This window comes from Homo sapiens, chromosome 2, assembly GCF_000001405.40.
Source record: "Homo sapiens chromosome 2, GRCh38.p14 Primary Assembly".
Taxonomy (NCBI): domain Eukaryota; kingdom Metazoa; phylum Chordata; class Mammalia; order Primates; family Hominidae; genus Homo; species Homo sapiens.
Window position 1 is genome coordinate 33,413,645 of NC_000002.12, and position 22,203 is coordinate 33,435,847.

At 42.9% G+C, this 22,203-nt stretch overlaps 1 non-coding gene across 1 annotated transcript; it reads left to right on the forward strand.

Moving 5' to 3' along the window:
- Positions 1-4,871: 4,871 nt before the first annotated feature.
- MIR4430 (microRNA 4430) lies at positions 4,872-4,920 on the forward strand. The gene has a single exon (NR_039628.1). It is a non-coding gene; the product is annotated as a microRNA 4430 (primary transcript).

Below are 22,203 nucleotides of genomic sequence, written 5' to 3' on the forward strand. Positions count from 1 at the left end.
GTGGCTCACGCCTGTAATCCCAGCACTTTGGGAAGCCAAGGCGGGCAGATCACGAGGTCAGGAGATCGAGACCATCCTGGCTAACATGGTGAAACCCCGTCTCTACTAAAAGTACAAAACATTAGCCAGGCGTGATGGTGGGCGCCTGTAGTCCCAGCTACTCAGGAGGCTGATGCAGGAGAGTGGCATGAACCCAAGAGGTGGAGGTTACAGTGAGCCAAGATTGCACCACTGCACTCCAGCCTGGGCAACAGAGCTAGACTCCATCTCAAAAAAAAAAAAAAAATTTCTGTGTCCAAAAGTGAACTTATCATCTCAACTTCCCAGCTTATTCATCTACGCATTCATTCATTTACTCAACAAATATTTATGGAAGACCTACCAGACTAGTGCTGTGCATTGGGAATATAGCAGCACAGGCAAGGCTCCTGCTTCCATGGAGTTTAGATAATCTCTGCCTTGTCTGGTTGTCCAACTCACACTCTGAAAGTCACTCACTCCCCACTCCCTTCGCATCATCTCCCCTTCCATTGTCTTCCAGATAAATTTTTTTTTTTTTTTTTTGAGATGGTGTCTCACTCTGTCGCCCAGGCTGGAGTGTAATACAGTGGCACAATCTTGGCTCACAACAACCTCCACCTCCTGGGTTCAAGTGTTTCTCCAGCCTCAGCCTCCCGAGTAGCTGGGATTACAGGCGCATGCCACTGCATCCAGCTAATTTTTGTATTTTTAGTAAGAGATGGGGTTTCACCACGTTGGCCAGACTGGTCTCGAACTCCTGACCTCAGGTGATCCACCCACCTCGGCCTCCCAAAGTGCTGGGATTATAGGTGTGAGCCACTGTGCCTGGCCTCTTCCAGATAAATCTGCATGTCCCCTGCTTGCCTTCTCAGCCTCATCTTGGGCTGTGTGCCCTCTTGCTGTCTCCCTCTAATAACCCGACACACAGTCGCAAGAAATATCTTTTAATTCCGTGATTGTAACTCACTCTTTATCCCTTTGGGACTTGGCCACAGTTGGTTCTTGCTTGGAATACTTCTCTTCTTCTTCCTACCAATACTCCTTGGTCTGACTAAATGCCCCTTCAGGTGTCACATTAACTGTCACTTTTTCAAGGACACCTTGGTTATCTGGGTTCTCACTGCTAGCTGGCCGGTGGTTGGCAGCTGCAGAATCTCACATGGGCACGTGCTTTCTTGGACCATTCCTGCCACCATTGCAAGTGGGTCTTCTGGAAAGCAGACTGTGAAATGGAGATTAGCATGTAGGGATCGAATTAGGGAGTGTTCTTGGGAAAATACCCCTAGAAGAGAAGAGAAGAAAATCAATATTGGGTAGAAGAACAAGAAGGATTATGATACAATCTCAAAGACTTTCTATCTCATTATAACCTTCTAAAGTTCTGCTGCTTACAGGTTTTCTTTGAAACGAATTGCATTGTTGATATCAAGAGTATTATGCACGTTCCAGCATCAATTTCTTGGTGCATTAGCTCCCCATTGAATGACACATTGGATGAACACCACTGAGATGAATATCTCTGTCAAGGTTTCTGGAAATTTTGTTGTTCCTCTGCAGGAATACCTTTTATTCTTGTAAATTCAGTGGTTATACTTTAAAAGTTTTCCGATAAAATATTGTTTTTTTAAAAAAAAATTATCATTGAGATATTCTTTAGTCTGATTTTCCAGTATGATTTTTTCTTTAAAGTGCTTCATTAAAAAGCAGTTCTTTGGCCAGGCACGGTGGCTCACGCCTGTAATCCCAGCACTTTGGGAGGCCAAGGCGGGTGGATCACCTGAGGTCAGCAGTTCAAGACCAGCCTGGCCAACATGGTGAAACACCGTCTCTACCAAAAACACAAAAATTAGCTGGGCCTAGTGGCGGGTGACTGTAATCCCAGCTACTCAGGAGGCTGAGGTAGGAGGAGAATCACTTGAACCCAGGAGGCGGAGGTTGCAGTGAGCCAAGATTGCGCCATTGCACTCCAGCTGGGCGACAAGAGCAAAACTCTGTCTCAAAAAAAAAAAAAAGCAGTTCTTCAAGAATGTAACTATTGAAATAGAATCCAAAAAATGCCATAAGCTGAGACATGATAGAAATACCTATACTTTCACCCAAATGCATGGCCAATACTAAGTTGTTTCTTCATATCTTCCGTAATATTTACTATGTGACTTCCCAAAAAATTGCTGACAAAAGAGTGAATTTTAGTTTTTGGCCTTTTGTTTTATAATTATTTCAACATTTTTTGTTGTGGCAGGGAGAACCAGAGACCCCAATGGTTTGTGGCTTTTGTTTCTTAACCGTAAAACAAAAAACCTCAAAAGAAGTTTCTGAGCAATTATTAGTAGGTTTTGTGAAATTTCTCAAAAAGCTGCTGAAATTTTTCTTCCATTTTGAATGTTTGGCTTTCAAATATCTTGTTAATCATAATAACTTTATATTATTACTAGTTAACATCTTAAGACATAACATGCCAGCCAACTAGGAAGAATTTTATCATTAATGGCAGTGGATATAAATTCATAATTTAAATGGTCTTCTTGATAACTTTGGATTTGAAGGGACTACCTGCTGGTCTAATTATCCTACCATTCTTTTCTTTTAACCTCATATTGTGGCTGATGTAGAATTTATATTTAGAACAGAAGGGTTTGCTCTGCCATTTTCTTTAGGTTTATTCTGCTGTTGTCTTTCTTTCACCTATTTTTTTACAGAAATATTTTTAAAGCCAATTTTTCCAATATGAGGGTTAACTTAGTTAAAATTAGATAATATTATCTAAAAATCCCTTTGCTGGGCACATGTTAATGGAAATGTCCAGTCTCACAGGAAGCAATCAATTGAGCCAGCACTGTTATCCCTTCCACACTTTTTTTGAGACAGAATCTCACTTTGACACCCAGGCTGGAGTGCAGTGTCACGACAATAGCGCACTGCAGCCTTGACCTCCTGCGTTCTGGTGATCCTCCCACCTCAGCCTCCCGAGCAGCTAGGCCTACAGGTACACGCCACCATGACCGGCTGATTTATTTTTATTTTTATTTTTAGTACAGGCAAGTTCTCGCTATGTTCCCCAGGCTAGTCTTGAACTCCTGGGCTCAAGCGATCTGTCCATCTTGGCCTCCCAAAGTCCCGAGATTTCAGGAATAAGTCACTGTGCCTGGCCCCTTCCATACTTTTTTCTCCACAGGATATCTTGAAATCACTGGGACTTGGGCACTGTCATTATAGCAGTTAGCATACCCTGACTGAGAGAACATCAAGAACAAGCTTGAAAAGTTTGGGGTCCTGTTCAGCCACATCTCCCCATTCTGCACTTCTACAAGTGGCTTTTTGAACCTCAGTACAAAATTTTACCTTTGCTCCTATTAATTTCTCTTCTGTTGTTGGTCCCTTTCTTTAGCCTTATGTTAAGATGTTTTGAGATTCTGATTCTGACTTCCAGTATGGTTGCTGTCTCTTCCAAGTTGACATACACTCTCCATCTTTATTCAAGATATTAATGTAACTATTAAGAAGGATATCTCTTTAAGACAAAAAAAAAGTGCAATACAAAAAAACAACTTCCTTTTGCTGAGTTGCTGAGCCCCTTGTGAGGCTGACAATGGCAGGATGGTTTAGTCTGTCGTCTCCAGAGGGTTTCCTGCCAGGGGACTTCTGGATTTCAGGATCGGCCAACATGAGTCAAACAGCTCTTGGAGCTCTTTATTCTCAAACCTTCTCTGCAAATCAGAGCTGGAGATTTCAGGATTCCCTCCCCACATTCCTCATGACCAGTACCGCTCCCTATTTTCTCAATTTTTCATGAGTCCCTTCAAAGAGAAATAATTTAAATAAAAAGTCTTTCCCAGATTTACCTTTTGCTGATTTTCCATTTTTCCCAACTAGGCAACAAGACTTCATTTTGTTCACTGATGTGTCACACAGAGTATTTCAAATAGTTTGAAGCCAGAAGAAGCAAAAAGGGAAGATGCTAAGAGGTCACCAGGGCCGGGCGTGGTGGCTCATGCCTGTAATCCCAGCACTTTGGGAGGCCGAGGCGGGCGGATCACTTGAGGTCAGGAGTTCAAGACCAGCCTGGCCAACATGGTGAAACCCTGTCTCTACTAAAAATACAAAAATTAGCCGGGTGTGGTGGTGGGCGCCTGCAATCCCAGCTACTCAGGAGGCTGAGGCAGGAGAATCGCTTGAACCTAGGAGGCAGAGGTTGCAGTGAGCCGAGATCACACCACTGCACTCCAGCCTGAGCGACAGAGTGAGACTCCATCTCAAAAAAAAAGAAAAAAGAAAAGGCAACCAGGTTTCTGTTTTGGGGGGCTACATTGAAGAAATCCAGTGTTTCCTACCTGCTTTCCATGGTGGCGGCGGGGGGGAAATCTGAATGAAAAAAGAGATTAGATCCATCCTTGAGCATGGTGGGTTTGAGGTGCCTGGAAACATCTACACAGAGATGCTGAAAGTCCATGAAACTGACTAGTCTGAAGCTGAGAAGGCGGACTGGCTTAGTGCTCTGCAATGTGCAGATAGAATATCTATGGATACTGAGTCAGGGCTCTCACAGTGTTGGTCTCAAGGCAATCCTGGTCCTTAGAATAGACATGGAAAAAGGCACAAGGCAGAAAAGGCCCTCTTTCTTTCCATGTCTATCTCCCTCTATGATCATAGACAACATGCGTTAAAAATCATATTATAAGCTGCTCTTAGAACTTGATCGCTTCAGCTCACAAGTTCAAGGCAAGTCTCGGCAACATAGCAAGACCCCATCTGTACGAAACATTTTAAAAATTAGCCAAGCATGGTGGCATGTGACTGTCATCCCAGTTACCCGGGAGGCTGAGGTGGAAGGATCACCTAAGCCCAGGAGGGTGAGGCTGGAGTGAGCGGAGATCGTACCACTGCACTCCAACCTGGTGACAAAGGGAGACCTTGTCTCAAAAAAACAAAACGACTCCCACCTCCAATAAAAAACCCTCATCAACCCCAAATCTAGACAAGTAATGTCCACTTTTGCCTGAGATTTTTTTTTTTTTTTTTTTTTGAGGCAGAATCTCGCTTTGTCGCCCAGGCTTGAGTGCGGTGGCACGATCTCGGCTCACTGCAACCTCCACCTCCCAGGTTCAAGTGATTCTCCTGCCTCAGCCTCCCGAGTAGCTGGGACTACAGGCGCATGCCACCATGCCTGGCTAATTTTTTGTATTTTTAGTAGAGACAGAGTTTTACCATGTTAGCCAGGATGGTCTCAACCTCCTGACCTCACGATCTGCCCACCTTGGCCTCCCAAAGTGCTGGGATTACAGGCGTGAGCCACCGCGCCTGGCCTTGCCTGAGGTTTTTAAATCAGCTTTACCCATCCTACTGACTGGGGGAGGGTAGCGGGTAGGTGGATGGGTTGATAATTTCCACCTCCATAGCAATCACCCTAAGCCTTCTATCTTGTTCCAGTCCTACTCTTATTTTGCTTATGTCTCTGCCCACCTTCAACCTCCTAACTTTGTGGTCACTCTTTCAAATTCTGTCTGTGGTCTTTGCATTTGGTATTTGAACTTGATCTCCCTGCTATTTGAACCTTCAGTTACCCCCAACCTCAGTTACCATCATAGATTTTTCTTTGGAAGAAATACCTTTTATTAGTCAGGATCCATTCAGCAGACAGAAGCCACACCAGGTAAAGGAAAAGGAAAATTTTAATATGAAGAATTGCAACTAGGTAAAAAGCCATTAGCTAGGTAACTGAGAAGGGAAAAAAGATCTCTAAAGTATCACAGAGGTAAGTGGCAACTGCAGTCATCAGCTACCACCCTTTCAACTGAGGGAAAAGAGGGAAGAGATTGGAATTATTAAACTTGGAAACGTAGAGTAGGAGTCTTGGAGACTCAAATTTTCTGAGGAGTTGGTACTGGCTGGCTGGGGTTAATGTCTCTGAGTGGGTACAAAGGAGCGTGTTTTATAAATGGGACAAAATTGAAAAGCAGATTCAGCTGCTGCTGTGAGAAGGCCGTGCCTCTGCCCATTTGAAGAAGCTTTGCTCAGGTGACATCACAGGAATAAGAAGTAGACAGGAGGCAGCAAATTCTCTCTTCTTCCTCCAGCCTTGCAGGCTCCCTCTACCACCCCCTAAAGAGCCTGAAAGGTATCTGGCTGGAAAAATAGAAATGTCGTTTGCAGTTTCTGTCCCAGCAACCCAAAGCGAGGTATAGAAGTGTATTTGAATTTGAAAGATAATAATGCTGTAAGGTCACTGTTTCTGACCTTAGCCAGCTCCCACTCCTCCCCAGCTAATTACTTCCCACTCCTGCCTCCAGTAGAGAATGACATATTTACCATTCATTTCCCACTGTGTTCTCCAAGTCTCTGCCCTTGCCCTGGCAATTGTAAGCAAATTGTTACTATCACTTTCCTTTCCTGATTCCACATTACTGCATGAGTAAGTTACAGTGCTCTTCAAGCAGGAGTCCACCTTGCTCTTTCAGCATGGTGAAGACAGATGATCTGCCTTACAAGCAGCTGCAGATCTTTTCCTTACCTCGAATCCTTTCTTCAGAGAAATTTGGAGGTAATTCCGAGTTTCTCTTGGGCTCCCTTCAGCAGCTTCATTTACTCAGGCTGTGGTCTTGTTATTTAATGTTGCATAGCAAATCACCCTAAATTGTAAAGGCTTGAAACGAGAACAAGCAGTTGTTGTCTTTTATGGTTTCAAGGCATCGGAAATTAGGAAGCAGGTTGGCTGAGCTGGGTTGAGGTCTCTCATGAGGCTGTAGTCACGTGGTGGATGAGGCTGGGGTCATCTTGAAAGCTCTGGCACCTGGGCCGGGAAGACTCAAGAAGCTGGGGATAGGAACAACTGGGGCTCCTTAGGTATCTGTCTACTTATTTAGACTCTCCAAGTGGTCCTTTTCAGAGTATCTTGATTTGTACATGGAAGCCCATGCCCCACAGAGCAGTTCTCCCCAGAGAAGCCAGGAGAAGCTGTATGTCTAACTTCACTCAGAATTATCCTCACTTCTGCCACATTCTGTTCATCAAGGCGGTTACAAAAGCCCACCCAAGTTCAACAGGAGGGAACATAAACTCTACTATTTGATGGGAAGAGTGTCAAAGAATTTGCAAGCACTTTGAAAACCACAAGCGGCACCTCTGGCTTAGGGTTTGTGGGAAACTCTGAACCATTGTTTTTCTCATATCTAGAATTATACTCTTTCAAACAGGCAGGATTCCTGACTATACTATGTGGCATGCTCTCCTTCCTGCACATGAATATGTAAAACAATAGAAAGAAGGGACATTCAGCCTGGACACTACAGTCCTCATGCTGGTCCAGGATCAGAGATACAATCATCGGTGCTTCCTGACTGGTCCCAGGAAGACCTTTTAGGATTGTTGCCTGAAGAGTTAATTTCCATGTCAAATCTACAAAGCTCTGGGGCAGACCGCAAGCCACTGCAGCTGGTTATATTCGCCACTCTCTGCTGGCACCTCCAGGAGGGCACATAACTGTCCATGTATTATGCTGGGGCATATCACATCAAATATGGGGTCTGGCCTGAGCAGCAAACATCCACTACTGGGAAAATGAGGCTGATCAGGCTCCATTCATGAAGATCAGAGCAACTGGTGCCTTCCTACAGGTTTGAGCCATGATAGAATTAGAGGTATGAGTGGTAGCACCAGATTTCTGTATATGGCTTGGGAGTAACAAGTGGGTTGGGAAGGGGAGCTAAGGAGTTTGCCTGGAAGCTGCTTTCATATAACACAAATCCTATTTTACTTTGAGTGTATGTTTATTTGGGATAACTTCAGGGGTGGAGGCCAGTGGATGTCATGGGTGCCAAAAGCCTACACAGGTCACCTATTGGTGCCATTATTTGGGCCACTATGATGTTTTAAAAATCAAGCCATGGTGGCCAGGTGCGGTGGCTCACTCCTGTAATCCCAGCACTTTAGGAGGCCGAGGCGGGCGGATCACCTGAGGTCAGGAGTTCGAGACCAGCCTGGCCAATATGGGGAAATCCCGTCTCTACTAAAAATACAAAAATAAGCCAGGCGTGGTGATGCATGCCTGTAATCCCAGCTACTCGAGAGGCTGAGGCAGGAGAATAGCTCGAACCTGGGAGGTGGAGGTTGCAGTGAGCCAAGATCGCACCACTGCACTCCAGCCTGGGTGACAGAGTGAGACACTGTCTCAAGAAAAAAAAAAAAAAAATCAAGCCATGGCTAAAGAAGCCTAATGACCTATTAGCAAACGTACAGACCTCAGACCTCCATATACTTCCCTGCCTTTCCTGTTCCTAACAACTTTGAGATCCTTACCACATTCCTGCTCCTTATCAACCCTGAGATCCTTACCACATTCCTGCTCCTTATTAACCTTGAGATCCTTAGCAATTATTTCCGGGAGGCTTGCATCATGGAGATGATGTGCACCAGGAGAGCATCCTCACAGTGTTACACAGCAGTTAGGAGGCATGTTTTTGCTGCATGGGTGTGCTTGATTTTTGAGCCTAAGACTTCCACAACTCCACTGACACAACTTGTGTTGACTGTTAATAAGACTCTCCACCTCCCCCCTGGAAGAACCAATGTTCTTTTTAATGAATACGAACAACAACTCTTCCCAACCACCCACTGCATCTAAGATAGTTCTTCTCCACACTTGTATCCATTGTCTTATCCCTGATGCCTGTAACTACTCTTTGGCACCTGGTCCACAGATACATGAAATTGTATCTTTAGAAGGCAGGGAACATGGTCTAGATCTTGAGGTGACCTGTGGTCTGAATGGTTGTGTCTCCCTCAGATTCATATGTTGAAACCTAATCACCAAAGTGATGGGATTAGAAGGTGGGGACTTTGAGACGTGATGAGGTCCTGAGGCCTCTACCCTCATGAATGGGATTAGTGCATTTATAAAAGAGGCCCCAAGGAGCTGCCTTGTCCCTTCCACCATGTGAAGATGCAGCAGGAAGGTTCCATCTATGAGAAAGCAGGCCCTCACCAGACACCAAATCTGTAGGCATCCCCTTCCTAGCCTCTAGGAGTGTGAGAAATAAATTTTTGTTGTTTATAAGCTACCCAGATTTTGATATTTTATTATAGCAGCCTGAACAAAGACAGAGGCAAAAAGCCACAGCAATAAATGAAAAGTCACATCGGGCCGGGCACGGTGGCTCACGCCTGTAATCCCAGCACTTTGGGAGGCCGAGGTGGGTGGATCACGAGGTCAGGAAATGGAGACCATCCTGGCTAACAGGGCGAAACCCCATCTCTACTAAAAATACAAAAAAAAAAAAAAAAAATTAGCTGGGCGTGGTGGCGGGCGCCTATAGTCCCAGCTACTCTGGAGGCTGAGGCAGGAGAATGGCGTGAACCCGGGAGGCAGAGTTTGCAGTGAGCCGAGATCACACTACTGCACTCCAGCCTGGGCGACAGAGCGAGATTCCGTCTCAAAAAAAAAAAAAAGTCACATCGTAGGTGTGTCTCTCTGTCTGATAATGAGTGTGGCCTTTGCATTGTCCCTGCAGTTTTGTGAATGCCAGTAAGTGGTATACTGTGAAAACTCATGGACCTGCATGATACCGTGCTTGCAGAGAACTATTGTGAGGAGCTTCCAAATGCTTTTCACATGCCCATACTTTTAAAAATATATCCAAATAATAGGTGTGTGGCCTACTGGGTAAAAAGAAGATTCTGCTTTACTGGGAGTCAACTGACCTTAAACCCCATCCTGCTTTCCACAGAGCTGAGGGCATCTCTTTCTTGGCAACCTGTAAACCTTGATTGTGTAGTTGTTAGGAACTGCCATAGGGCTAGGGCAGTGGGGACAAATGACCACAAACTGGATGCCTTAACTCAGCAGAAATGTGTTCTCACAATATTGAAGGCCAGAAGTCTGAAATCAAGATGTTGGCAGGACTGTGCTCCCTTTAAAGGTCCTACAGGAGAATCCTTCCTTGCCTCTTTCTAACTTATGGCGGCTCCAGGTATTCCTTGATGTTCCTTGAAGTGTAGCCACATCACTCCAGTCTTTTCCTTTGTCTTTACATGGCCTTCTTTTCTGTGTATGTCCGTATGCCCTCTCCTCTTCTCATAAGAACACCAGTAATTGGATTTAGGTCCCACCTTAAATCTAGTATAACTTCTACTTCAGATCCTCAACTAATTACATCTGCAAATATTCTATTTCCAAATAAAGTCATATTCTGAGGTTGTAGATGAACATGAATTTTGGGGTACCATAGTCATCCCATTATAAACATTCAGCCTAAAAATTCTCCTTGTGACTTCCCACTGCTGAACTATTCCTTTTTATTGTTACTTACATATTCAAACATAAAACATGAACTCCCTATGTTTATTGTTCCTTTGCGAGTACAAACCAAAACAAATACCAATTACATGCAAATGAAACAGTGAAATGAATATATTTAAATGAATAGCATTAATTTAAGGTGACAGATGACATTTTTTAAGATTAAATTGTCCTGCACTCATATGAGTTGCACTGTCTGCTGTGGTGCACTTTCTTCAAAGTCTGTCTTGCTTCTTTAATCACTGTTCTGTCTTCTAAATATTATAAATTTTGGTTCGTACAGTTCTCCACTGATTCATTTTCTGGGTACAAACGTGTCCTCTACTTATTTACTTACATAAATTTATTCTCTCAAATCACATGACAACATTTGGTTAAAAGGTGGTGATCAGATGATCCAAATATTTGTATATTAATGCTTTTTTTTTTTTTGAGATGGAGTCTCTCTCTGTCGCCCAGGCTGGAGTGCAGTGGCGCAATCTGGGCTCACTGCAAGCTCTGCCTCCCAGGTTCACGCCATTCTCCTGCCTCAGCCTCCCAAGTAGCTGGGACTACAGGCACCCGCCACCACGCCCGGCTAATTTTTTTTTTTTTTTGGTATTTTTAGTAGAGACCGGGTTTCACCGTGTTAGCCAGGATGGTCTCGATCTCCTGATCTCATGATCTGCCCACCTCGGCCTCCCAAAGTGCTGGGATTACAGGCGTGAGCCACCACGCCTGGCCATTAATTCTTTTTTTTTTTTTTTTTTTTTTTTTTTTTTTTTTTGAGGCAGAGTCTCTCTCTGTCACCCAGGCTGGAGTCAGTGGCACGATCTTGGCTCACTGCAGCCTCCACCTCCCAGGTTCAAGTGGTTCTCCAGCCTCAGCCTCCTGAGTAGCTGGGACTACAGGCACATGCCACCACACCTGGCTAATTTTTGTATTTTTAGTAGAGATGGGGTTTCACTGTGTGTTAGCCAGGCTGGTCTTGAACTCCTGACCTCGTGATCCATGTGCCTCGACCTCCCAAAGAGCTGGGATTACAGGCATGAGCCACCACGCCCGGCCTGTATATTAATTCTTTATAAAGACTGTCATTATTTAAATAACATCCAAAATTAAATATTTTTTTCTAGAGAATATAGACATCTTCATGTTGCCCCTATTTTGAGAAAACTGGTGTTTGGCCCTAAATCATATGAACTCTTGGCATGTGTGTTCTCCATCCAATTTGCAATAGCATCTTCCATAGACTAACCCTGAAAAATATCATTTTAGAAAAACAGAAGTGGAATACCTGAGCTAATTTATGTTTAGCAAGGGCAGCTAAAGATTCTAGCCTTGTTATCCCCAGATCTGAAGAAGAAGCTCCCTGTTTGTCATCAGTGAATTCCTGAGGTTTTCTAGGCCCAGAACTTTGGTGCCAATTTCCCACTTTTCATGTCCTGCTAACCATACAACAAAAGGGAGAAGAGCGATCTTTGGCTAACCACCAGACCAGAATTCTGAGAACTGTAAGTTCTTCATCTTTATTTTGGCTTACCTTGATCTAGGCTTTTCCCTCATCTTTAGAATCAGTGCCTTTGGTATCTGGATAGGAGTGGGAAGCACATTCTAGATCTCCATTTCTTTGTCTGTCCAGACCCTTCCTACCTTCCTCTCCCACACGCAGCCTCTTTGACTTTGGTCATGGTCAGGAGATGTGGGCTGGGCCAGTTGTATTACTTCTGGTCACAGTGATTGTTACAAGAGCTGGGCATATTACCCAACCCAATCTGAGTCCTGCCTTAAGAGTTTTCTCACTGGAGGTGGAATGAGGGGGCCCCATTCCTCTCTGTGAAGGCTGTGTGGTTGTGAGTCCAGAAGAGACCCATTTCTAGTCTCATGAAGAATCCAGTCTGAGTGTGAAGTAGAGATGAAAGCTAGAGGAAATGAGTCATGATGGTGCTCTGTGTTGGCTCCAGACATCCTAATGCTCCTCCACCTTTGTTCTCCTAAAGTTTAGTTAATGAGTTCATAAAATTCCCCTTTCTCATATAAGCCAGTTAATTTGGGATGTCTTGTCCCTTGCAGCCATGAATTGTGACTGATTCATTTCATTAAAAAAAACTACCTCACTCTTGACATCTAACCCTCTGTCTACTACTAAAAGAAGCTGATCCTTGGCTGGGTGTGGTGGCTTACGCCTGTAATCCCAGCACTTTGGGAGGCTGAGGCGGGCGGATCACGAGGTCAGGAGATCGAGACCATCCTGGCTAACACAGTGAAACCCCATCTCTACTAAAAATACAAATAATTAGCTGGATGTGGTGGCGGGCGCCTGTAGTCCCAGCTACTCGGGAGGCTGAGGCAGGAGAATGGTGTGAACCCGGGAGGCAGAGCTTGCAGTGAGCCGAGATTGCACCACTGCACTCCAACCTGGGTGACAGAGCGAGACTCACACACACACAGACACACACACAGAAAGCTGATCCTTGATCATGTCAGTTATCTTGAATCACATTAGGGTCTCCGTTATAATTTTTCATGGGTAGGGACAGGTTCTGGGGATTTGGGTTCCCAGAAGTAAAAATCTTACTACCTTTTGTACTAACTCCCTTCATTCTGGGGAACCATGATGGTCTTTTGAGGACACAAAACATAAGGCAATATTCCCTATTGTTCTGTGAGCAAAACTGTGCAGCACCTTAAGTCTGTACAGATGCAGTATCAGAAGCAGCAAGGGATTGGCAGGTTGCTGACTAGAGCCATAGGGACTTCACTCTTCTCTCATTTTCAGTCCTCCTGCCCTGGACACCTGCCAACATTCCTTCTCAACTCTTGACTCCAGCAGTGAAGCACGTGGCCCAGCCTAAGTCAATCAGAACTTAATCCAGTCAAAGCCAGTTAGACTTTGGCTGGCCCTTCTGGAAATGTGGTGTTCTCTCTTCAATACTAGATTTGAATGTGAGAGGAGGGGTGGTTGGAGCTGCCATGACCATCTCTTGACTATGAACAGAGCCAGCCTGAGAATGACTAACATCCTTGGACCCGTTGCCTCAAGCCGCACCCAAAGTTTTTGTTTTCATTTGTAAGGGCACATTAAATAATGAGACCATAGATTTAATTAAATATGATAATAGTTAAAACCATGTTCAGGGTACAAATATACCACCTCAAAGGACCAGATTCCTTATGATGACTCAGTCTGCATCATTTAAAACAAAGCAGAAATAAGCCTGCCCCCAAGCCCCATCTTTGAATTCCACATACATTATGGGCTAGATAGCTAAAGTAGCTGAAAAAGTCTCCTATCCTGCACATCAGAATAACAGAATAACAGGAACCGCTTGGCATGCTATTCTGATAGCAAGAGCGGGAGACCAATTGTCATCATCGTAGTTATAACCATTACAACAACTTACTGAAAGCTCTTGGGCTAGCAATTGTGCTGGTATATTGAATAGTTACCTTTAATGCTAAAACATAGGTACTGTTTTAATATGTACTATAGATGAGGAAATTAATATAATATTAAGATGGTTTAAAGGTCACCTAGATGGTAAGAGGCAGTTTAATTTCAAGCCAGATTTGACTCCAAAACACACGTTCTTTCTACTTTTTCCATGCTTCCTTTCGTATTGCATGACTTGGCTGAGGTTCCACCCTAGCACACACAGTAAAAGAGATGTCTCGTCCACCAGATTGCTTAGTTTGATACCTTGGGAGACACCTTCATCAAACTTCTTGAACTCTTTTAGGCCATCTCCTCAATCTTGTTGGGTCACTGTGGCCCATCCAAAGTATTAACCGTGGCCCTCCAGAACTTCCAATGGCTCTGGATTTGGCATTTGTAAGATGCATTTTTTTTTTTTTTTTTTTTTTTTGAGACGGAGTCTCGCTCTGTCGCCCAGGCTGGAGTGCAGTGGCACGATCTCGGCTCACTGCAAGCTCCGCCTTCCGGTTCATGCCATTCTCCTGCGTCAGCCTCCCGAGTAGCTGGGATTACAGGCGCCGGCCACCACGCCCGGCTAATTTTTTGTATTTTTAGTAGAGACGGGGTTTCACCATGTTAGCCAGGATGGTCTCGATCTCCTGACCTCGTGATCCGCCTGCCTCAGCCTCCCAAAGTGCTGGGATTACAGGCGTGAGCCACAGCACCTGGTTGTAAGATGCCTTTCGATACATAATATTTATGATATGTGTGCCCAAATCCACAATGCCCGAAGGGCTGCCTCAACCAATCCAATCCTAGTTAACTATCATGATGGGTTTATCATAGGTATACCCACTTCCCAAATCTGCAACAAATTTTGGTGGTGGTAAATACCTTTTATAATCCCTAATCTTTATCCCCTGACCTACTTCCCATCTACTTTAATCACAATCCATCAACGATATAGGAATTCGATCTGATATCTGATAGTGACCTGTAGTTCATATCCTGGCTTTAGAAAACACATCTACCTGATACCCACTTCCCATAGCCAGATGATCAAACTGTATCAACTCATTTCTGAAAAACACCTCTACTTATACATCCAAGTGTCTTTGCTTTACACCTTTCGGCTTTATGATCTCTTTTTTTTTTTTTTTTTTTTTTTTTGAGACGGAGTCTCGTTCTGTCGCCCAGGCTGGAGTGCAGTGGCGCCATCTCGGCTCACTGCAAGCTCCGCCTCCCGGGTTCATGCCATTCTCCTGCCTCAGCCTCCTGAGTAGCTGGGACTGCAGGCCCCCGCCACCATGCCTGGCTAATTTTTTTTTTTTTTTTTTTTTTTTTTTTTTTTTTTTTGTATTTTTAGTAGAGACGGGGTTTCACTGTGTTAGCCAGGATGGTCTCGATTTCCTGACCTCGTGATCCACCCGCCTCGGCCTCCCAAAGTGCTGGGATTACAGGTGTGAGCCACCGTGACCGACCTGATCTCATTTCTTAAACCAAACCCCCTGATTTTGATGTTTATACTCAGTTCTTCTTCCTTTTTCGCGTACCTGACACATTGTCATGTATTGGGTTTTTTAAATGGGCCATTCATCATACAAACAAAAAGTAGAATAGTGGTTGTCAGCAGCTACAGGGAGGGAAAAAAGAGGAATTGTTGTTTCAAGGATATTGAGTTTCAGTTTTACAAGATGAAAAAAAAAAAAAGTCCCAGATATCTGCTTCACAACAATGTGAATATATTTAACACTACTGAACTGTATACTTAGAAATGATTAAAATAGTACATTTTATGTTAGGTATATTTTACCACAATTTTTAAAATGCAAAAAAAAATTTTAATGCACTCGGGAAGAGAAATGGTCCCTCCATTCAGACCTTTTCTAGGAAACTCAAAATAAATTTGCTACTATTAGGACAAATTAGAACAGACTCTAAGAAAGTTTACACCATAACGTGTATTCCAATATGGAACGTTGATGTTGGCTACAGCTATAATCAGAATTCACTCAATACTTGCATAACCTGTTCCTTTGGGTACTCTGTTGTATTAGTTTAAAAGATGTGTTTTTACCTCTGGGTCACCCCAATGACACCTTATAATTGGCTCTCAAACTTCAGTGTACAATAAGAATCACAGGCTTATTATAAATGCGTATTCCAAGGCTTACCCTAGACCTACTAAACCAGCAATCTTCTGGTGCCAAGGCTCAGAATTCTGCATGTTCAATAAACTCTCTACATTACTCTTTTTTTTTTTTTCTTGAGATGGAGTCTCGCTTTGTCACCTAGGCTAGAGTACTGTGCTCAGAAATCTCCACGTTCAATAAACTCCCTACATTACTCTTTTTTTTTTTTTTTCTTCTTGAGACGGAGTCTCACTCTGTCACCTAGGCTGGAGTATGGTGGCACGATCTCAGCTGCCTGCAACCTCCACTTCCTGGGTTCCAGTGATTCTTCTGCCTCAGCCTCCCAAGTAGCTGGGATTACGGATGAACACCACCACACCCAGCTAATTTTTTGTATTTTAGTAGAGACAAGGTATCACCATGTTGGCCACGATGGTCTTGACCTCCTGACCTTGTGATTCACCCGCCTTGGCCTCCCCAAGTGCTGGGATTACAGGCATGAGCCACCATGCCCGGCCCTCTCTACATTACTCTTATACAGGCTGTCATTGGACCATGACTTGAGAAATTCTGCTTTAGAAAGTATGCTTCTTTTGGGGGGAAAGGCCAAATGTTTAATTTTATTTCTTTTCTTATGGCTCAAGCTCAGAGCTTTGTACTTAGTAGGGACTTACATGGGGTTGAAAAAATACAGTTTATAAAAAAGAATTGTGCTGGCCTCATTGTCCAAATAAAATACAATTTGTAGCACGTGGTTTCTTTCAGAATTAATTGCACATTAATACTTGATATTTGAGCAGGCTGTATATTAAGGAGCTACAACATGATACGAGTTCCAAGAATGTGACTTTAGTGCTTAGTGTTTTAAATCTAGACTCTTAGATGCTCTGATCTCATATAGCTCTAAAAAGTCATTTCCTTCTTAAACTTTTCGTCCTCTTCAGCCTCTAAATGGAAATTAAGCCTGCCTAGTTTCAACCTGATTTACAGCTTTTAATCTGTGTTCTTAATGAGGTATTAGAGAATATTTATAATGTCATTGTGTAGTCTGTCCACAGAAGAATAACTGTGAATATATGTTTAAAATTCCATATACTTTAGAACTTAATGTTTTGCCTGAAGAAAGAGCTCACTGATATATTGAGCAAGCGTTTGGATTCGCCTTATGTAGATTAAATTCATAATTTTATTTTTAACAGAGTCATTTACGTTTATGACATCACAAGGAAGTATAATGACAGTCTATCAGTTTCTACTTAGAAATAATAAGATAATTTGTTCTTCATGTTCTGGAAGATATTTGCCTGTCAGATAGGTGGCTAAAAAGATGACTTTGAAAGCCCTTTCTAATCCTGAGGATGTGAGTTTACACTGCCAAAGTAACTTCTTGATGTACTCAATATTACTTGGATGTGAAATGTAGTTTGCTCCCCACATAGAACATAATTTTTAGCCCCAAATTTGCCTGTAAAAAGTGAAGTTTATAGTGGTTTTGTCTTGTGTATTTTTTATATGACATCATGCTTTAGAAATATAAACAAATGGAAAATCAAAAATTGGATCAGAGGGTAACACCGTAATGGATTTGACTTTTAACTTCTCTAGAGGACTGATCTATTAAATGTTTTCTTTCTCCTCAGTATTGTTCTATAAAGATGTCAACAGTGACACACTGGTTATCACAGCACTTTGTATGAATACAGCCAGAATTTGTGGCATTCCAAAATGTCTTGAGAGGCTTGGAAAGGAAGGTCTGAGGTCACAGAAGCTTAGCACTGAAAGGACCTCAAAGATAGAGCATGAGGACATTTAGGTCCCTGAGTTGCTCAAGCTTGTGTAACGGTAGAGAGATGCCCTGATCTTTCTCAAGGCAGTGCACTTCCCACTGGTTTGAAAGAAGAAAACTTAAGTTGTTTTGTCTATTTTACCTTTGGGTAGCACTGTCCCTAACTGTCCTATATTAACCACCTGGTGTATGATGTCTACTTTCTTTTTTGTTTGTTTGCTTGTTTTTTTGAGACGGAGTCTCACTCTGTCGCTCAGGCTGGAGTGCAGTGGCGCGATCTCAGCTCACTGCAAGCTCCGCCTCCCGGGTTCACACCATTCTCCTGCCTCAGCCTCCCAGGTAGCTGGGACTACAGGTGCCCATCACCATGCCCAGCTAATTTTTTGTATTTTTAGTAGAGATGGGGTTCCACTGTGTTAGCCAGGATGGTCTGTATGTCTACTTTCTTCTTTCTAGGTCAGTCATCCATTGTGTCAGACAGAAAACAGGGGGCCCTCACAATCCCACTCTTGGTAGTCACAGCCTTGATCCCTCACCTGATCACAGGAAGGACTTGTGACTTGCTTCTAGCCAGCTGAATGCAGCAAAGGTGACTTGAGTGTCCAGGATCACATGTACATGATTACCTTACATAAGACTGCAAATCATCTTGATAGGAGCTCCTCTCCTATAGCTGGCTTAGCCAGACATGGATTAGCTGGGTCACTGCCTCATGGTCTTAAAAGGCTGCAAGAAGGTATTAGCTGGAACTTTGGTCATCTGAGGCTCGACTGGGGAATGATGTGCTTCCAAGCTCATGTGGTTATTGGCAACGTTCAGTTCCTTGCAGGCTGTCAAACTAAAGGGCTTCAGTTTCTTGGTGGCTGTTGGAGGGAAGCTACCCTCAGTTCTTTACCAAGTGGTCTTCTTCATAGGCAGCTGGCTTCTTCAGTGGCAGCAACGAAGAGAGATTTTCTTGGTCATTCTGAATACTCAGTTGTTTTTAACTTGCTTCATCTAACCAGTGTGAATTTGCACCCTACAATTTGTTAGAATTATAAAGCTGATGGTTGTGTTCACCTTGCCAGTCTTAATATAAACTCAATTGCATAATTATGTGTTTCAGGGGAGTATGGAGTATATTGACCCCATTGTGAGTTCGAACTAATCTATTGTATAAGTAAGGAACCTGTATAGACTATTAATTCAGTAACCAACCTACTGCTTGGCTTTTTACTCGACTACAGTGACTGCCAAAATGAAAAGTTTAATTGTTGTTGGATAAATCAGTTCCATTGCCCTGCTCTCTCCCCTCGTTTCTTCCTTCCTTCCTTACAAATACTGCACACAATCAGCTAATATTTAGGTGCGCGTGCTGTCGGCGCCCATGGTAGTTCCTTTTGCCTTCAGATGGGTGCCATGAGCTGTCTCTACCACGGTCTGTTTTGTTTCCTGTGTATTTTACTTCCAGTGATGGTTTTGCTTCTTCTTTGCCTCCAAAGCTTCACAAACAACCTTAGCGCTGAGTCCAAAGGCATTTCCCAAAGGAATATACAACTAGCAGAAACAGCAAAATGAGAGTCTGTGTTTCAGAATTAGTAGGAAAACTTTTACCATAACACCAATTAGAATTTCCTTTAGTTATTATGACATCAGATTTTAGCTTCAACAAAACTGAACTAGCTCTAGATTTTATTATCGGCGAGTCTCAAGTTGTCTTTTTTGTTGTTGTTGTTACACAAAAACTCATGCTGTTTTATTTTAGGTGCATGGCAGAGTGACAGAATACCAACAGAAACCAAAGTCTAGTGCAGGGAAGGTAGTCTGGTTTAGATTTTCCAACTGAACTTTACCAAGGCTGGGCTTCTCTTGGGAGATATTGTGCACTGTTTTATTTGTGCCAAGAGTTTTCTAATTTGCAAGGTAACTTTAACATTATGTTTGCTGAGAATCAGTCTAAATAAACTACTGATGAACACAAATCAACTTCAATTAAATTAATGGAAAAGCTTTTTTTCTATCCCACTAAGTCTTCTAGCTCTTTCAAAGAGTTGGTAACTCTTATATTTTATTTTTAAGATGGAGAAGTCCTTCCTAACTTTCAACCACCTTTTCATTATTCCTGCTGTGATTTAGAGAGCCATCCTTAACCTGTGTTCTTTTGAGTGGTTATTCTAGCAGTTTTGACTTATTTTCATTAGTATGATGCAACAATTCAAGTCAAAGGAACACAGTTCATAGCCCACAATTTGGTCATTATCTAGAGCTTCTGCACTTTGGGGATAAAGATAAGCTATTATTAAAAATACCTATGGGACATACAGGCTCAGATACATAAGTGCATTCATCTCAGTTAAGCAATAATATGCAGACTCTTTTTTGCGTTTTCTTTGAGAACTTTTGCTTAGGTTTTCTCTATATTTTATATATTGAAAACTTTTTAAGGGACTTCAATTTTAAAAACCGTATTTTCCTCCACTGACAGAACCAAAATAATTGAAGAATGTCACACATTATCTTTCCTAACAAGGCCTTTGACTTTTTCCCACTATGCCTTTTGAGAGAGTCTGTCATTAATTTTAGATTAAGAATACAGAGCCTTGTTGTTCCCATAGACGTTTGAATGATTCATTTCTAGAGATGGGCAATACGGGGAGTTCTGTGACGTTGTTCTTTTTGACAAGTAAAATACTTCCCCACAAAAAATAGAAGGAATATTTCCAGAGGACAATGAAAGAAGCCTAGTAAATGTACTTGGAGTTTCTTAGAAGCATTCATTCTTCTCACATGGGAGCACGGTTTGCTCTCAAAAACATATTACCCCACTGCCAGCCATTTTCTTGCCAAAGTCAACTCATGTACTTTCTAGCTCTTTCAATACACTGCAGCTGTTATATCCTGAGCACCATGGACTTCCTTCTTCCTTTCTGCTATTACAAGGAAGTCATTCACCTCTCTTTTTCTTTTTTTCTCTATCCGTCTTTTTTTTCTCTCTCCCTCGCATTCTGTTTCTCTCTTTCTCTCTGAAGAAACATTTTCCTCCCAATCTGTACTTAGGATGTGGACACCCTTACTTTTTCCTTATCAGCTCTGGCTTGAGCTCATTGTTCAACCTATTGCTTCTATTATACGGGGGCCTAGTATGAAACCCAAGCATGGACAAGAAATGGCTGGGTTTCAAAACAATAATCAAATCACTAAACAAAAATAGGGGCTGGGGGCCGGGCGCGGTGGCTCACACCTGTAATCCCAGCACTTGGGGAGGCCGAGGCGGGTGGATCACCTGAGGTCAGGAGTTCAGGACCAGCCTGGCCAACATGGTGAAACTCCATATCTACTAAAAATACAAAAATTAGCCGGGCGTGGTGGCACATGCCTGTAATCCCAGCTACTTGGGAAGCTGAGGCAGGAGAATTGCTTGAACCTGGGAGGCGGAGGTTGCAGTGAGCCAACATCGCGCCACTGCACTCCAGCCTGGGTGACAGAGCAAGACTCTGTCTCAAACAAACAAACAAAAAAAGTGGGGGCTGGGACATTGTATTTCCATTAGAAGCTTCATTTCTTCACTGTTTACTTTGGTTTTGTTTCAGACAACTTATAATTTTTAGATATAGCTGTTAGTAAAATTTGCTTAGAATTTATCTATATGTAGGATGACTCTTCACCATGTGTGAGTGCTGTTGTCTCTCTCTTAAATACTATCCTTTTGTTTTTTCCACTGCTTTTGCCTCACATTAGGTAGCTTCTCCAAGTAATTAGGAAATTAGTATGTCTTCTTAACATTAGATCTAAAAACTCTTCTAGTCATCTAGATGGAGGTTACCAGCATAAAAAGCATATACATTATTTTCTGATTCTTACATTAAAAAAATCTACTCTTAAATTCCTTTTTGAAGAGATATTAATAAACATGCACACAAAGTAATTATGTAGATCCATGTTTCTCCTATTTAGTGAGCATCAGAATCACCTGAAGTTAATCATCTGAGCCCCAGCCCCAGAGGTTCTGATCCAGGGTTGCTGATGCTACTGGTCCTCGGACCACTTTTTTTTGTCTTTTTTTTTTTTTTAATTTTTAAAATTTTTTTAGACGGAGTCTCGCTCTGTTGCCAGACTAGAGTGCAGCGGCACAATCTCAGCCCACTGCAACCTCCGCCTCCTGGGTTCACGCCATTCTCCTGCCTCAGCCTCCCAAGTAGCTGGGATTGCAGGTGCATGCCACCATGCCCAGCTAATTTTTGTATTTTTAGTAGAGTCAGGGTTTCACCATGTTGGCCAGGATGGTCTCCATCTCTTGACCTCGTGATTCGTCCACCTCGGCCTCCCAAAATGCTGGGATTATAGGCGTGAGCCACCGCGCCTGGCCGGTCCTTGGACCACTCTTTAAGTAGCCCCTCCTATGGAGAAATTCCTTGTGCTTCTTCTCAAAGTGTTACTCACGTAAAGAGCAGCTAAAACAAACACTTACTGGGTGGCTAAAACAAACACTGTTGACAGACAGTAAGTGTAGAATGACAGAGTAAGGGAGGGAGGTGACAGATAAATAGATGACTGTTAGATAACAAATCAATACATAGACATCTAATAGAATTATATGAAG